At 40.9% G+C, this 18,403-nt stretch overlaps 1 protein-coding gene and 1 long non-coding RNA gene across 3 annotated transcripts in view; one reads left to right on the forward strand and one right to left on the reverse strand.

Moving 5' to 3' along the window:
- PRICKLE2 (prickle planar cell polarity protein 2) overlaps positions 1–18,403 on the reverse strand; it is a 175,938-nt gene that overhangs the window by 94,108 nt on the left and 63,427 nt on the right. For both annotated transcript variants that reach the window (NM_001370528.1, NM_198859.4), the window contains exon 2: positions 12,441–12,624. In NM_001370528.1, the coding sequence (NP_001357457.1) occupies positions 12,441–12,584 (144 nt within the window). In that variant the 5' untranslated portion in view covers positions 12,585–12,624. The remainder of the gene's footprint in view (positions 1–12,440; positions 12,625–18,403) is intronic.
- PRICKLE2-AS3 (PRICKLE2 antisense RNA 3) lies at positions 1,201–15,218 on the forward strand. Its single transcript, NR_046702.1, has 4 exons — positions 1,201–1,262; positions 3,951–4,004; positions 7,847–7,969; positions 12,366–15,218. It is a non-coding gene; the product is annotated as a PRICKLE2 antisense RNA 3 (long non-coding RNA).

Below are 18,403 nucleotides of genomic sequence, written 5' to 3' on the forward strand. Positions count from 1 at the left end.
GGGGAGGTGAATTAACTTGGCCAATGTTGGAAAGCAGCACAGCTAAAATTTGAACACAGAGCTAGTTATCATCGAAGCTTAGACTCTCAAACACTTATGAGCCCAGAAGGATAGTTACTCAAAAGACAGAAGTTATCGGAGGCCAGCACAAAGCCTGATGTCTGCATGGGTCTTCCATGAGACACTTTCTACATCTACCTTTGTATGGCTCCAGGCCACCTAAAGCAACATATAAAGACTGGTGTTGGAAAGCTCCAGTTTTTGATTGGACCTGGAAAACTGCCATATTGAAATCACACCTATACTAACAGCTTGCACATATGGGTACTTAATAAACAACTGTTGAACGAATAAATGGCTGAATGCACAAATAAATGCATAAAGGAAGGCACAGGCAGATAAATAGATTGAGGAAGGAAGTTAGTTACTTGCTGATTTGGTGGTGGATTAATCCAATCATCCCATGAAATTACTCAAAATATCTCCTGCGTCATAAGGCAGAGGAGATCATCTTGATACTACATTAACTCTCACACCAGGCTACAGTGTAGACTGCCCAGTCAGCAGAAAGGGTGTGCAGCTGTGAATTTATGCAGGAAGTCTAAGTAAGAGGCCAAGTCCCAAACTTTAGGACCCCAGAGTGAATTTACTGTAAAGGTTGGAGATACCTGTCTTGAAAGCTAGAACTCCAATGGCAGGTCTCTCATCCTGCATTTGCAAATGAGCCTTGGCCTTTCTAGGCCTCATAATCTGCACGCAAGCCTTGACAAGTCCCTGCTGGTGGAATCTGGCCGTGTTGCTGCTGACTTCATCTGGCAGAGGCCCTGAAGCCTGGGAACCCAGGTTCTAGTCCCAACTCTGACAGCTCCGTTGAAAACAAGTTTATTAACAGGCAGTTTTAGTGAAAGCTGCACACACAGGCATATTTCCCATTGCCATCTGATGACATCAGTGTATTTCTGGAGCCAAGATAAATACAGCATTGTTCATGTGACTAGCTTCCCAAGAAGAGTGAGGTGGACTGCTCTGAAGCCTCCTCCTGCCCTGCCCCCTTCTTCCCTCCCTTCCCAACTCATCTCTCAAACTGCATTGAAAACACCGAGGTGAGTGACAGTGAAGGCTAACTAGGAGATGCAGCTTAGGGGGAATTTAATCCAATTCAGTTGGAGAGACATGCATCTCCCTGTACCATGAAATTCCATTTTGATCTCAGCATGTGCTGATGGAGTAATGAAATAAAGACAACACTCTGCAAATGGCTGGTGAGTCTAATGATGGTTTTTATGGGGGTTTTAGAAGGGCTATTAGATTGTGCATTCCTTTCCTATAAGCCAAAACCACCCAGCAGACCTTGGGAGATGAACCATTTTATCATTCTTCTCTCCCTTCCCCCAGCATCTGCCAGCCTTTGTCCCTCCTGGTATAAATAGCTTCTCACATAAAAGAGCAAACTGTCAGTAGCCTGAAAGCTAACGGTAAAGCTGGACGCCTGGCACTGTGGCCCCAGCCGGGTGGTGGTGAGTCACAGCTGTATAATTCACGGTCCTGCAGTAAAAGGTATCAGCGCATGCTCTAGGTTAACAGGCCAGAAAGGGAGCTGAAGAAACAGGGCCAATGAAAGACTTTTAAAAGCATCTTGAGTTTTCCTTTAACAATCAGCCTTGTATTTGGGTGATATCCAGGGCATGCCAGTCAAAGGCAAAAAGACAGGAATGGGATTGGGTAGCTTCTGGGGCACACCCTTCATCCGTATCTGCACGCAAATCTGCTTCAGTGTCTTGGAGATTCAAATAATGATTCTGATGAGGACAGCAGCTACCATTTGCTGAGGACCTATTTGGTGTCTGCTTTGTCCTAGGATCCTTACAAAGATGAATTCACTTCTTCTCTGTTAGCTACTTTAGACTTGGGCAGAAGCATCCCCGTGTTACAGCTAAGAAAACTGATGCTTGAGATGCCCAAGGTTACAGAGTTAAGTGATGGAGTCTAGATGTGGCCTCATCTATTCCTAGCAATGTGGCTTTTCCATTAGCCAACAGTAATGGCTCTCAAGCTTTGTCATGCATGAGAAACACCTAAAAGCTTTGTTGAAACAGATTGTTGGGCTCCATCTTCAGAGTTCTGGTTTATTTGGTCTGGGGCAAGTCCCAAGAGTCTACATTTAACAAGTTCCCAGGTGATACTAGTGCTACTGGTATGGGAACCTCGTTTTGAAAACCACGGGACGAGGCAGACCAAATCTGGGTAATCAAGCCATCATTCCATGTAAAGTCCCAGCTCAAATGTCACTTCTGCAGAGAGGCTTCTCTTAGCCATCCAATATAAAGTAGATAGATTCTCTAAATCAGGGGTCTGTGTTTCAAATCAGGCCCCCTTCCTGTTTTTGTAAGTAAAGTTTTATTGTCACATGACCATGCCCATTTGTTCACCTATTGTCCAATGCCTGCTTTCACATTACAACATCAGAGTTGGGTATTTGCCACTGAGACTGTACAATCCATGAAGCCTATATTTACTATCTAGATCTTTACAGACAAAGCCTGTCAACTCCTTGCTCCAGATCATATCACCCTTTCTTATTGCTTTGTTAATAGACGTCGGTCTCTGAATGTGTCTTGTTATTCAGCTATTAAGTTGTCTGCATCCTTCACTAAACTGTCAGCTCCACAAAGGCAGAAGTACTTGCTTTTCTATTCACAGCTGTCCCCTAGTGCCTAGGAAAGTACTTGCCATATAGTTGGCACTCAAAAAATATTTGCTGAATGAATGTCACTATTGAGTGCCCAGGTACGTGACGCTGTCTGTACCAGTAACATGAGAGCCCCTGGAGGAAGTACAGTAAAGCCAGGGTAAGAGAGTGAGAAGAGATAAGGATAAACAGAGATTGTCGATAGGGAAACAAATCTTTGAAGCAGGGCCATGCTGCTTCCTGCAGTGGTGGGGAAACTGGAGGTGGGGAAAAGATGAATTCCTTAGTCACTAAGGTCAACCTCAGATTAGGAGAAATTTCCCATCCCTAAGAATGAAAGAGACTGTGTGACTCATGCTGTTCCCCTCCTCCAACTCACACCAAGTCTGCTTTCTTGGATCTGATTCCCTGAGTGGAGCAATGTGCATGCTCTTCACTGTGCATGAGGAAGGGGTGGAGGAGGAAAAGCCCACACGGGCACTAGAGTCAGACAAATGGCTGGTTCAAGTGCTGTCTTTGTCCCTCGCTGACTGCGGCATCTTGGTCAAGTTTCTGATCCTGTGAGCCTCAATGATTTCAATGGAGAAATAGAAGATTTTGTACCAAGGATTAAATGGGACTGTTTATTCACGCAAACCCTGTTTATTAAATGGCTAGCATGTGCCCAGCATTATTTTTGGTACTGAGCATAGAGTGGTGAATAAGACAATGTCCGTCTCTAACAGACTCACATTTTGGAAGGTAGTATGGACATAAATAAATGTAAGTAGAGTACTAGCTATGAATTTAACATATGGAAGATGTCACCTCTGTAGTCAAATGGGGGCTCTCTGTTGCCCTATGTGCACCTGGGGCAGAAACATCAAGGGGATGGATGATTAAGTGCCTCCAATTTTCCAGGGGCAAGCAAGGTAGTTGGACTGTCCTGCCTTCATGTCCAGGGATGTCTTGGCAAGCACCGAGCACTGCATGGGCTCCATTCGTGTCTCCCCAGTCTGCCAACACTCTCCCCAAATTCTTTGTGCACAAAGTTGGTACTGATTTTATTTCACTTCTGAGTTTCACTCAAATGAATACGTTAACTTCTGTAACAAATGAGATCTCTGCATAGTAGGCTTCTTCAGTAACAGCTCAAATACTGCCTCCCCAGAGACGCCGGACCTGACCCATCGGGCTAAATTAGCCAATCCCCCCAGCACCCTGCTCCACATCAATGATCTCTGAAGCTGTTTTTTTGTTTTGTTTTGTTTTGTTTTTATAGGATACATTAAGTGAGAAGCAACTTGTAAAGCACCCAGGAAAATATCTGACACATGTAAGAGTTTTCTAAATATTTACAATCCTATTCTTAACATCACTATGTTTTTTTAAAAAAAATCACAACCTGAAATTATCTTACTTATTTGTTTTCTAATTATTTGTCTTTACTCTTCACATAACTACAGTGCAGTAGAAACCTTAAGTCTCTTGTTTACTGTTTTGTCCCCAGCGCCCAGAACACTGCCTGACACATAGTAGGTATAAAATAAATATCCTTAAATAGGTGAATGAGTGAACAGAAAAAGCCCAATGGCCATTTCCTTTTCACCCAATTTTCTAGCATGCTCTCTGATTTATTCCTTGGACTCTCATGGGGAAAATCAAGTGGAATGCTGCCAAGAAGCCCATAGCCAAACCATTACAGACAGGTACTAACAAGGTTCCAACTGGCAGAGAGGCCAAATCAAGGAGCCTCTGCTGACCTGTTGATCCCCTAAGAGAGATGTGTAGAATATTCTTTGTGGGAAGACTCCCTTTGCACTCTGAGAAGCCTACAGAAAATTCCCCAAGGACTCATTCCTCCCAGGTCTGAGGACTGTGAGGCTGCAGGAGATCTCAGGCACCAAGGAAGGTGGGTGGCAGAGCTCAGTACTTCAGCAGATAATCCCAAAGCCTGCTTGGGGCATTAGAGGATTCAGAATCAAGAGGCTCCATCTGGGGCCCTGAATAACTTCCACAGGCTCCACAGAGCCAGAGAACTCCACTGGGACGAACTTGTATCTTTATAACAATCCCACAGCAGAAGGCCTGGGAAACAGAAAGGTTCCCATATTGGCAGAATTCAAAATTACCTTATGAAAACCTTTTGAGAAGGCTGAGAAGGACTCTAGGATTGCTACAAACCCTATGCTTAATCCGCCTTCTCCATCTCCACGTAACCTCCCTCTTTCCCGGAAGCCAAACGTTCCTTCTGCTCCTCTTTGAGCTGACTCAGGGCAATAGTAATTAGTTAGTCACATACTACTATTTCACAAGAAAGATGGGAAGGAAACAACTGACTTATTGAGCAACTTCTACGTGCAGACAGAGGGCCAGGAGCATTATAAGCACTCTCTCATCCATGGCCAGATCAGCCCTGTGATCTCCAGGTCTAATAGTACCGGCTCCAAAGTCAGGTTGTCTGAGATTATATCTGTCTCTGCTACTCATTAGCTGTGTGATCTTGGGCAAGTTATTTAACTCCTCTGAGCCTTGCTTTACTCACCCTACGGTGAAGACAGGAAGAGTAATTACTAAATAATGTTGGTTGAGTATTAAATGAGACAATGCATGCAAAGTGTTTAAAAGGATGGTGGGTCCATAGCAAGTGTTCAATGAGAGTTTAATTACTTTTCCATCATCATTGTCATCTTCATCAAGAGGAAACTGAGGGTCCCAGAGATTTAACAACTTTACTGTGGTCAGAAAGTAGTGGAGTAGTAGAGAGATTTGCCTGATTCCGGAAGCAAGGCTCTTCCCACTGGACCAGGCTGTTTCCTCCTCATGCCATGGCTCCCACTGGGCTCCCGAGATTCGGATGGGGACATAAATGGTGCCTGGGTTTGGATACACAGTGGGCTTCTGCCAGACCCACTGCTCCTCCCACCCTGCTCCAGACCCAGAGACTTGGAGCTGGTGGAGCTGCCTCAGGTTTGCTAAATGCAGCCGTTGGCAAGATGTCACCCTCTCTGGCCTTTTGCAACCTAAGCAAACTCTGAAGCAATTGGGATGTTCAGGGGAATCTGCTTAGAATACAAATCTTTAGGAGCAGCCGAGGGAACAGAAATAATTGATATGGAATAACCCTTTATGTCGAAAATAATGCCAAAGGCTTTTATCTCTTCAGTGTGATGCGACCTGAACATTTCTGGTTCTACAGAGGACCCCTGCCGTTGGCCTATCTCTTAACAGATGTTTGCTGGGTGCTGGCCATGTGTCAGGCACTATGCTAGGTGCTGGGAGGATTCCGAAACAAGAAAGCATGCAAGATTCCTGCCCTCCTGGGCCTTAAAGGAAAGTAGGGAAGCCAAACATTAAATAAATAATTATACCAATAAGTATCTAATTACAAGTTTTATAAGTGTTAATAACAAAAATTGCAGGGTTTGCTACAAAGCATGTAACTGAGGACCTAATCTTGTATTAGGGGCCAGCCAAAGTAGTTCTTTGAGGAGATACATTTAATCTGACACCTGATGGATGAGTAATAGTCACTAAAATAAAAGCCAAATAAAGAATTTTATACACTCCCAAAAGAGATATTTTACAGCTTTACAAGGCTCAAATCCAACTAATTCACCCCTGTCTCTGGGTAGTACTGGATGTTCTATTTTACCACTTATGAGACAATGCTTTGGAAAGCCAAAAACTAGGCAGTCACACTTGGTATCTACCCTTCATCCTTCCTGCGACAGTTTGAAGTGAGAGTTGAGTGTTCTGGATGATGAATCTAATTGCAACTTATTCTGTGCTAAAACATAGTTATGGTCAAGGTAAAATTACTAACCTTTGGAGATATTCATATTTAAGTACCCTCCATGAACACTTGGGAGCATCCAAAACATCAATGAAAAAGACATCCACTCAGGAGAAACAATCTGATGGCCTCTTCAGAGTTTCATGGAGCAGCAAGGACGAGAACTAATATAAAATCCACTTGCATCCAATGAAAGCTATCCACCCACAAGACATACCAGTTATGATCTTCCTGGAGAGTGGTGTAGCATCATGAATCTAAAACCTTAGAGAAGCTTACACATGACCACTACACCTCCAGAAATTACGCTTATGGAAAGGAGCAGGCACATGTATAAAATGCATAAGGTTAGCTGCTGCTGTCTTGTAATATAGAGGAAAGCTGCCAATAAATGCAAGTGGTCAAAACTAAACCCTCAGCTCCATGGTGCTCAATGATGGTATCTTGGCATTTGAGATGGGTCCATTCTCCTTTGCACAGGATCATCTGGTACTTTTTGGGATGCTTAGCATCTCAAGGACCCATGCATAGGCTAGTGGAGTCCCCTAGTCATTTAGACAGTAATTGCCCTCTCCCAAACATACATTTCCAAATGCCCTCTAGAGGCAGTGGTACCACTCCAGGTTAGAACCTACCAATAGAAAACTATCGAACCATTACAAAGGATAATCCAGATCGAAATATACTGATGCAGAAAAATGTTCACAATATAAGGCCTAGAAAAGACAGCTCAAGATAAGTGGAGAGCGTCATCACATTTTTGTCCAAATCAAAGCAGAAATATACTCCTACACACATAGAAACTTGAATATACAGGCTGATATGGTTTGGCTGTGTCCCCACCCAAATCTCATCCTGCATTCCCATGTGTTGTGGGAGGTACCCAGTGGGAGGTAATTGAATCATTGGGGCAGGTCTTTCCCATGATGGCCTCGTGATAGTAAGTCTCACGAGATCTGATGGTTACTATAAGGAGGAGTTTTCCTGCAAAAGCTCTCTTTGCTTGCTGCCGTCCATGTAAGACATGACTTGCTCCTCCTTGCTTTCTGCCATCACTGTGAGACTTCCCCAGCCATGTGGAACTGTAAGTCCAGTTAAATCTCTTTCCTTTGTAAATTGTCCAGTCTTGGGTATGTCTTTATCAGTAGTGTGAAAACAGACTAATGCACAGGCAAAAAGGTTGAAACACAATTTTCCTTGGTTGGTGGAATTGTGAGTGATTTTTATTTGCTTTCCTGGATGTCTCACATTTTTTCTTTTCTTTTTTAATGAACAAGTCTCCCTTTTATAAAAGAGGAAAAAGTTCTTTTTGGTTTAGAGAACAAAAAGCTGACCCTCCACAGCCAGCTGGTCATGCAGCTCCAATTCTCATTTTGATTTAGTGAAGATGGCAGGATCTGCCTCAGGGATCTGCTCAAGCAACGTGGGATCCCCACTTTTTCACTCTGCTGAATACTCGACCATATTACAAGGCAACAACTGTTCTAAGCTGGAACTAGAGCATGGTAGGTGCTCAATAAATGTTTGCTAAATTGAGTCATCCTTTTTTGTCTTGATTGGGCCAGAATTCTGCTGAGATGTCCTCCAGTTTTTAACATCACTTCCACCCAGTGATCCTCCTATTCCCCAGGAACATTGGGTAACGTCTGGAGACATGTTTGGTTACCTCAAATGGGAAGTGCTTTTGGTATCCAGTGGGTAGAGGCCAAGGATGCTGCTAAGCATCCTACACAATGCAGAGGACAGTCACCACAGAAAAGAATTATCCTGTCCAAAATGTCAACAGTGCTGAGGCTGAGAAATCCTCTTCATCATCTGCCCTTCTTATAGCTTGTTAATTATTTTCTAAGTTCCTATTTTAATATTATCTACTGTAAATGTATCATCCTAGCACCTCAAAGAGATACGGTATACACTATTCACTGTTTGAGTTTGAAATGAAATTGAAGCCTTAAGAATGTCTTCAGACCAGGCGTGGTGGCCCATCCTGTAATCTCAGCACTTTGGGAGCATTGCTTGAGGTCAGGAGTTCAAGACCAGCCTGGGCAACATAGTGAGACCCCCTTCTGTACAAAAAATACAAAAATTAGCTGGGTGTGGCAGCATGTGCCTGCAGTCCCAGCTACTTAGGACTGAGACAAGAGGATTCCCTTGAGCCCAGGAGTTCAAGGTTGCAGTGAGCTATGATCGTACCACTGCCCTCCAGCCTGGGTGGCAGCAAAACCCTGTCTCTTAAAAAAATAAAAATAAACAAAAAAGTAAAAAAGACTTCAGATGATCAACTAGGGGCATATTCCAGCCCTCTGTTCTGCTACCATTAAACCCCTTATTTGGAGTGAGCAGAGGCAAAGGATCTGAACAACTTCTCTGATCAGTTTTCAGTTCAGTCATTAGAGATCACAAGATAAATGCCTTTCCTTTCTGGCATCATCTGTTATATTTATTATTTTCCCACTATTTTTAAAAGGCTGGGTTTTACAGCTAGTGCATTTTTATGAAATTAAATGTCCGTATTCGAGAACACTTCCCTAAAAGGGAGGGGACTTTCGTTTACATTATATTCAATTGAAGGCATTTCTCAGGAGAAATAAAATAATAAAGAGTATCACCTGAAGGTATATTACCAACCTACGACCTGGGAGTGAAATGAAAGGTTTCTAACAAAAATGAAAGTACATTACTCTCAACCCTAACTGGTCTTTAATATTTTTGCCTCCAGGACAAAGCATTTTTACACTCACTATAATTTCTCTTGATAGAAAAATAGACTTTCTCAGACAGCTAATATGATATTAAACATCAGAATTTTTATTAGTGAACGGCATTTAGGAACTCAATTTTTTCTTACAGCATACTATACAGCTTTCTAAAAAAAAACCTTTAAATTCATAAACAGTGCTATACGTAATAGACTTTAAAAGATCTTCCAATTTACAAATTTGAAGCCCATTTCTTACATGCAATATGACCCCTTCAAACACCATTAATATAGATGCATATTTTATTAGGCGCTATAGAATTCTTAAAATAACTTGAGAAGATTGTCTCTCTCTGCAGAGCTATTTCCTTTTCTAATCATCTGTGTCATAAAGATTTGAGTAAGTGTAGGAAATAGGGAAAACCATCCAAAGAACAACAGAATTATTAGAGATAGGACTACCCTTTCATTTGACATAATTCAAACCACTTGTTCAATGGCACTAATGACTTTCTTTCAAAACAAATCAAAGACATTTCAGATTTATGCTTCCCAAAGACATTCATTTTGGATGAGTCAAGGGACCTCCAAAAATACCATTAGCACTCACTTTTGAAATCATAAATTTAATCAAAACCCTAGCTTCTGCAATTGTCTTTTTTCTTGGGTCAATATGAGTAGAACGTTTTCTCTGAATCTGCATTTCAGGGAATGACGTTTAATGGTCTTAGAGAAAACTCTATTTAAGCAGGAAACTGACAAAAGCTTAACTTTGGAAAATTCAGAGCCCAATTTAGCAAGAAGCAACATCCTTCAGGTAAACAAAAGAAAGATGGGCTGCTTAAAGCAGAAGTTGTTGGAAATAAGGTTAGCAAGAAAATGAAACAAGCTCACTGGTGTATCTAGGTATGAAAACACACTGTTCAAGTACTGGTGGTAGAATGGCAATGTCAAACAAAGTTATGCGGTCAGCCACTACCCTCTCTGAGTGTCTAAACAAACTCAATCAAACACTCTCGTTCTTCTTAAACTAATTATTTAATAATAAAATCTTTACTAAAACAGAAGATATAACCTCAACTCACAGACTGGGAGAAAGCACTCATTTCTTCCTGTTAATAACCCAACAGAGAATTGCCTTCAATTCTCATGGAGATTATTTTCTGGGAGTGTTTCTATTCTAAGACATTTTCTCCCCTGTAGTGAGAATTAGAACAGAGATCACAAAACGGAAGTGCCTGTAGGTTTCAGGAAGGTAACACAAAAGAATAAAAAGGACTTTGTAGAGACTCGGATGATTCGGTATAATCAAGTTTTGTTTTGTCTAAAAGGAATGGCCATCACTCAACTCCAACCAATTATATCCTTACAGGAATGAGATTCCAGATCTTCAAAATTTCAAGACATAAACTTTTACATGAAAAAATCTCTAATTTTGAAGTATTAGTAGCTAATTAAATTTTAAAACAATACCTTGCTGGCTAAACAAATCCTACCGTGTCCCTGATTTCATCTGCCAATTTGCAACTTCAAAATTAGAAGAAAATGAGCAATGGCTAATCAATGAGTTTATATTAGTATCACTACTCTTAAGTTATGAGTGAATTCTTGGGTTCTTCTTTATTATAAATAATTTTCTCTATCCGGTCTGTCATTGATGGGCATTTAGGCTCATGCCATGTCTTTACTATTATGAATAGTGCTGCAATGAACATACGTGTGCATGTGTCTTTACAATAGAATGATTTATATTCCTTTGGGTATGTAACCAGTAATGGGATTGCTGGGTCAAATGGTATTAACGTTTTTAGGTCTTTGAGGAATTGTCACACTGTCTTCCACAATGGCCGAACTCATTTACGCTCCCACCAACAATGTATAAGCGTTCCTTTAAGTATCTGTTCATGACCTTTGCCCACTTTTTAATGGGATTGTTTGGTTTTTCTTGTAAATTTGTTTGAGTTCCTTATAGAGTCTACATATTAGACTCATACACACAATAGAATACTATGCAGCCATAAAAAAGTACAAGATCATATCCTTTGGAGGAACATGCACAGAGTTGGAGGCCATTACCCTTAGCAAACTAATGGAGAAACAAAACCAAATACTGCATGTTCTCATGCAGTGGGAGCTAAATGATGAGAACACATGGACACATAGTGGGGAACAACACACACTGGGCCCTACCACAGAGTGAAGGCTGGGAGGAGGGAGAGGGTCAGGAAAAATAACTAATGGGTACTAGGCTTAATATCTGGGTGATGAAATAATCTGTACAACAAACTCCCATGACACCAGTCTACCTGTGTGACAAACTTGCACATGTACCCATGAACTGAAAATAAAGTTAAAAAAAAAAAGAATTTTCCCTAAAAGCATTATCACACCTAAAGTTTCCAAGTTAAAATTTCAAGGGCTGATGGCCGGGTGTGGTGGCTCACGCCTGTAATCCCAGCACTTTGGGAGGCCAACACGGACGGATCACGAGGTCAGGAGATCGAGACCATCCTGGCTATCATGGTGAAACCCCATCTCTACTAAAAATACAAGAAAATTAGCCAGGGGTGGTGGCGGGTGCCTGTAGTCCCAGCTACTCGGGAGGCTAAGGCAGGAGAATGGCGTGAACCCGGGAGGCAGAGCTTGCAGTGAGCCAAGATCGCGCCACTGCACTCCAGCCTGGGCGACAGAGCGAGACTCTATCTAAAATAAATAAATAAATAAATAAATAAATAAATAAATAAATAAATAAAACAAAAAAAATTTCAAGGGCTGTTTAAACTTTAAAACGTTTTTGTTGGACATAGAGAAGATGTCCTGAGAAAGAAATTTTATGTGTCAGAGGAAGTCAACAGTGGTCAAACACTTCAGATTCTGGCACTTCAGATTCTCACAGGAAACATCATGAAAATACCCAGCTTATAAAAGAGCTTCTTAAACAACATGGGGCTGGTAGAGGAGAAAATTTGAAGTACCAAGAAATACAAGAGGCTGTATTTCACTGAGAAAAATGTGGTACACCTCTGAGATGTTTCTAGACAATCCTGGTAACAGTTAATAATGACAATACAGAATGAATTAGCAATGGATCACTCCTGGCTCAATTTCATTTCCCTTCCTCATTTTCCACTGGGGCCCCTGGCATCTTCAACATATTTAGCCCTACCACTTCTCTGAATCAGCAAAGTCTACTCTTCCTACAGAACTGGAATGAGGAAGGACCAGTAAGGCAAAGTGAAACACCCAAACCACCAGCATGCTCCCATCCAGAATGGTACCTGTTCAGGCTTCAGACCCGGCGGGACCCAGGCATACTCTTCCAAAGCACAGCCTGAGTCATCATCTGAGGTCGAGTTCCTCTGAAAGTCAAACATGAGTTTGCTGATGGTCTTCTCCATCTCCAGCGGCATCACTGTCACCATGTGCTCCTCCTGGGGACACTTGCAGTGCAGGCAGATCTTCCTGCAGGCAGTAAAGGTAGAAGGTGAGAAAGAGGAAAAAACCTTTTTTTTTTTCCAAGAGCCTGCCAGTCACTAGCCCCTGGATCCCAAACCATAAACACATTCCTTGGCAATGGGCATCGGGCAAAGGCATCGCGAGCAGTGTTCCAGAACATGACTGTCTTTGCAGAGGGCGTGGTACACGCATGTGAAAACAGCATGAAAGGTCAGAGGCCACCAGGTAAGCATGCTAAGGGTGTTTACATGTGGACCCCAGCCTTCTCTTCTAAATCAATACCCCAAGAGGAATGGTAATATAGTTTTTATTTTACTAGGTAGACCACTGGATATGGCCCATGACCACAATTTCCTTGACTGCAATAGCAATTAAATATACATAATACATATGTTGACCTGAAGTGTTACTTGTAGATTTAACAAATACTGACAACATACTGCTTTTATAAAAGGTTCCTAAGCCCTGGAAAATGGAGAAAATGGTTTTAAAAATGCAGGTAAAATGTTCTTTAAGAAGAAGAGCAAACATACATATTTTTTCTCATGAAACGTATCTGGCCCTAAGATCTCATAGGAAAGACAATTTCACCTCCATTAAAGATCCCTGTAGGTTTGGAATTCTAATTAGAAACCCAAATTTTCCCTATGTTGGTGGGGTTTTTTATATACAAGAAGATCATGCATGTGAATTATTTCAAAAGGTAGCAGCCAAAGATAAAAATCTCCCAAACTGAACATTTCTCTTTTAAGGTTACCATCTGTTCTCTTATCCATAGCTACAGAAATGATGAAGCAATAAATATGTTGATGTCAGCAACACAAAAGCATTTCTAGCTTCCACCAATAAAATAAAAAGAGAGAAAAAAAGAATAGAGGAGGAAAATTTTAAGGAAATAAGTTATTCCATGTTCACTCTTTTTAAAATTATTAGTTTCCGTAGCACCTTATAAAGGTGATAAAAGAGCCCAGAATTTTAATCCCCAGATGTGCCTGAACGTTCTGATAACAGCTTTGTGAAGATACAATGTACAAACCATAAAACTCACCATTTCAAAGTGTACAATTCATGGACTCTTAATACATTCGGAATTGTGAATCATCACTATCTAATTTTCATCCCCTCCCCAAAAGAAACCCCAGGAGCATTGGCAGTTATTTCCCATATCCCTCTGCCCCCAGGCTCTAACAACCACTAATCTATTTTCTGTCTCTATGGTTTTGCCTATTTTGGACATTTCATATAAATGCAATCATATAATATGTGGTTCTTTTGAAGTTGGCTTCTTTCACACAGAATGACTTTTCAAGGTTAATCCAAGTTATAGCATGTATCAATCCTTCATCCCCTTTTATTGTTGAATAATATGCCATTGTATAGATATACCACATTTTCATTGATCAGTTGTGCACATTTGGACTATTTTCACCTATGGCTTTTATGAATAATGATGCTCTGATTACTTATGTATAATTTTTTGTGTGGATATTTGTTTTGTTTTGTTTTGTTTTTTGAGACAGGTTCTCATTGTTTCCCAGGATGGAGTGCAGTGATGCAATCACGGCTCACAGCAGCCTTGACCTCCTGGGCTCAAGCGATCCTCCTGTCTTAGCCTCCCAAGTAGCTGGGACCACACAGGGGCATGCCACCACGCCTGGCTTTTTTTTTTTCTGAGACAGAGTCTCACTCTGTCGCCCAGGCTGGAGTGCAGTGGTGCCATCTCAGCTCACTGCAACCTCTGGCCGCCCAGGTTCAAGCAATTCTCCTGCCTTGGCCTCCTGAGTAGCTGGGACTACAGGCATGCACCACCACGCCCAGCTAATTTTTGTATTTTTAGTAGAGACGGGGTTTCACCATGTTGGCCAGGCTGGTCTTGAACTCCTGACCTCATGATCCACCCGCGTCAGCCTCCCAAAGTGCTGGGATTACAGGCATGAGCCACTGCCCTCAGTCGGATATATGTTTTTAATTTTTTTTTTTTTTTTTGAGATGGAGTCTTGCTCTGTCGCCCAGACTGGAGTGCAGTGGCACGATCTCGGCTCACTGCAAGCTCCACCTCCTGGGTTCGTGCCATTCTCATGCCTCAGCCTCCCGAGTAGCTGGGACTACAGGTGCCTGCCACCATGCCTAGCTAATTTTTTGTATTTTTAGTAGAGACCGGGTTTCACCATATTAGCCAGGATGGTCTTGATCTCCTGACCTCGTGATCCGCCTGCCTCGGCCTCCCAAAGTGCTAGGATTACAGGCATGAGCCACCACGCCTGGCCAAAGTTTTTAATTCTTTTGGGTATATTCCTAGAAATGAAATTGCTAGGTCATGTGGCAACTTTAGATTTAACATTTTGAGGAACTCCCAAATTGTTTTCACAAAATATCTGTACCTTTGTACATTCCCACCACTGATGAATGAGTGTTCCATTTTCTCCATATTCTTGTCACATTTGTTATTGTCTGTCTTCTTTTATTGTAGCTACTATAGTGGGTATAAAACAGTATTTAATTGTGGTTTTGATTTGCATTTCCCTAACGTCTAATGATGTTGAATATCTTTTTATGTGCTTATTATGTATCTTCTTAGAATAGAGACATGTCTATACAAATCCTTAGTCCATTTTTTTTCATTGGGTTGTGTTCTAATTGTTGAGTTATAAGCTTTCTTCACATATTTTCTGGATACAAGTCCTTTATCAGATATGTGATAGGAACATTTTTTCTTCCATTTTGTGGACTGTCTTTTCACTTTCTTGATGACATCTGTTGAGCACAAAAGTTTTTAATTTTTATGAAGTCTAATTTTGTTGTTGTTGCTGTTGCTTTTGTTTTTTTAATCATTTCTAAGAAGCCATTGCATAACTCACGGTCATAAAGATGTATTCTTACATTTTAATTTAAGAGATTTATGGCTTTGGCTCTTACATTTAGGTCTATGGTCCATTTTGAGTTAATTTTTGTATATGGCACTAAGTAGGAGTCCACCTTCATTCTCATGTGGCTATCCAGTTCTTTCAGCACTATTTATTGAAAAGAATAATCTTTCCCATTGAATTGTCTTGGTACCCTTGTCAAAAAATCTACTGACCATAGCTGTAAGAGTTTATTCTGGACATTCAGTTCTATTCCAGTGGTCTGTATGTCCCTCCTTGTGCCAGTACCACACTGTCTGGATGACTGCAGTTCTGCGGTAAGTTTTAAAATCATGAAGTATATATGAGTCAAGCAATTTTTGTTCTTCTCTTAAAAAACTGTTTTGGCTCTTCTTCATCCCTTGCATTTGCATTCATAAAATATGAATTTTAGGATTAGTTTGTCAATTTGTGCAAAAAAAAGCCAACTAGAGTTTTGATAGAGATACACTGACTTTGTAGATCAATTTATTAATCTGAAGAGTATTGCCATTTTAATGATATTAAGTCTGCCAATCCATGAACACAGGCTACCTTTCCATTTACTTCAATCTAATTTCTTTCAATTATATTTTGTGGTTTTTAGGCACAAGGCTTGCACTTCTTTTAAGTTTATTCTTAAGTATTTTATTCTTTTTGATGCTACTGTAATTAGAATTGTTCTCAATTTCACTTTCAGGTAGTTATTGTATAGAAACATAAATGATATTTATATTGATGTTAAATCATACAATCTTGCTAAAATCATTTATTAGTTGTATTAGTTTAGGTACTTGTGTGCGTGTGTGTGTGTGTGTGTGTGTGTGTGTATTCTTTAGAATTTTCTATATATAAGACCATATCATGTGCAAATAGAGAGTTTTACTTTTTCCTTTTTAATCTGATGTCTTTTATTTCTTTATCATATCTTATTGCCCTGGTTAGAACCTCCAGTACAATGTTCAACAGAAGTAGCAAGGGTGGACATCTTTGTTGTGTTCTTGATCTTAAGGGAAAGCACCAGTCTTTCAGCATTAAGTATTATGTTAGCCATGAGTTATTTGTACATGCTCTTTATCAGGTAGAGGAAGTTCTCTTCTATGCTAGTTTGTTGTTTTTACCACAAAAGGGTGTTGGAGTTTGTCAAATGCATTTTCTGCATCTATCAAGATGATTAGTTATTTTATGTCTTTATTCTATTAATGTGTTGTGCCTAAATTTCAACATAAAAATGTACTTGAAGAAACGAAATCAGTTTAGTCTAACCAAACTGATTTTGGCTTGTCAGATTCCCCCACTTTCTGCTTCTCATCAAATCAGAAATATACACCAGACAGAATGCACACCTTGGATCTCGTTTGCATCTCCAACTCAAAGAAGTTCCATCCAAACCCTGGTTGTTGCTTTTAAAAATAGTCAGAGCTCATTTGAATAGTAACTCTTTAATTAATCAGCTACTGCACAATGGTCAGGTCTGTTGGGAAGCAGTCAGTTTATTTCTCCAAGAAATTTTTATGCCAGTTTATGACTTAAGGAAAAACAAGTTTCAATGTGTTTAAGTAAGTTGACTAAGCTCTTTGGTGACTAATGCTTTTTACTAGAAAGTCATACTTGAACATCAAAATGTAGAAAACTTTTACCAAATTCAGTCCCAAAATATCCACCAATTAAACTCATTTATTCACATACTAATTATGCAGGGAAGAGCACACTAATGCCGGATGGACATGATTTAACGAACTGAGGATCCAGGAGAAGGAATAAAGATAACAAGAAAACAAAGGAGGAGTGCAGAATCAGATCCAGAATGAGCATCGACAAGTAGAAGGATAAACAGAAAAGAGACGATGGGGAGGGCTGAGGCCCCATGTGGTCATTCAACAAATAACTCGAGGTGGATGGATCACTTGAGGCCAGGAGTTCGAGACCAGCCTGGCCAAATGGTGAAACCATGTCTCCACTAAAAATACAAAAAAAAAAAAACATCAGCTGGGCATGGTGGTGGGCACTTGTAGTCCCAGCTACTCAGGAGGTGGAGGCACGAGAACCGCTTGAACCCAGGAGGTGGAGGTTGCAGTGAGCCCAGATCGCATCACTACACTCCAGCCTGGGTGACAGAGCGAGATGCTGTCTCAACACACACACACACACATACACTCTAAAACAAAAACAAAACAACAACAACAACAACAAAAACCCAAATAACTATCAAGCACTTACCACGTACCAAGGCCTGCTCTAGGTACTTGGGTACCCAACCAAGACAAAGATCCCTGCCCTCTTGGCCTACGTTCTCAGAGGGGAGAAACATACAATACACATAACAAGCCTTTCAATCACAAAGTATGTTAAAGGCAGCAAGTGCTACTGAAAACCAGAAAGAAGCAGGATATGGGAGGTCAGGATGGGGAGGGGACATATACCGAGCCATATGCCTGGCATTTAAGTTGCTTTATACCTTACATACATGATCCTAGACTCTTCCATCAGTCCTCCAGGAAAGGAAATATTATCTCCACTTCCCACGGAAGAAAACAAAGGCCCAGAGTGGTTAAGTGGCTTGTAAGCAGTTAAGCAACTGAACTATTCAGAGCAGTTGATCAACCCTAAATAGTGAGCAGAACATGGACTCAAAGTAGGCTCTAACTGACCACTGAAGCAAAAAGTTACTTATAGAAAATCTATCTGATTCCAACCACAGAATACCCTTTTACTTCTGAACAACAACAACAACAACAACAAAAAACCTCACACACACGCAAAAGCAAAACCAAGGAGGGGGGAAGAAAAGGAAAAAAAAAACCAAAACCCTAAATAGTAACTCAAAGCCACAAGGACCTTATCTGTTTTCCATGCTAGCTGCCCGCCTTCCACTTCTCATTTATAATTAACTGGCACTCCCG

The sequence above is a fragment of the Homo sapiens genome, chromosome 3, assembly GCF_000001405.40.
Source record: "Homo sapiens chromosome 3, GRCh38.p14 Primary Assembly".
NCBI classification, from domain to species: domain Eukaryota; kingdom Metazoa; phylum Chordata; class Mammalia; order Primates; family Hominidae; genus Homo; species Homo sapiens.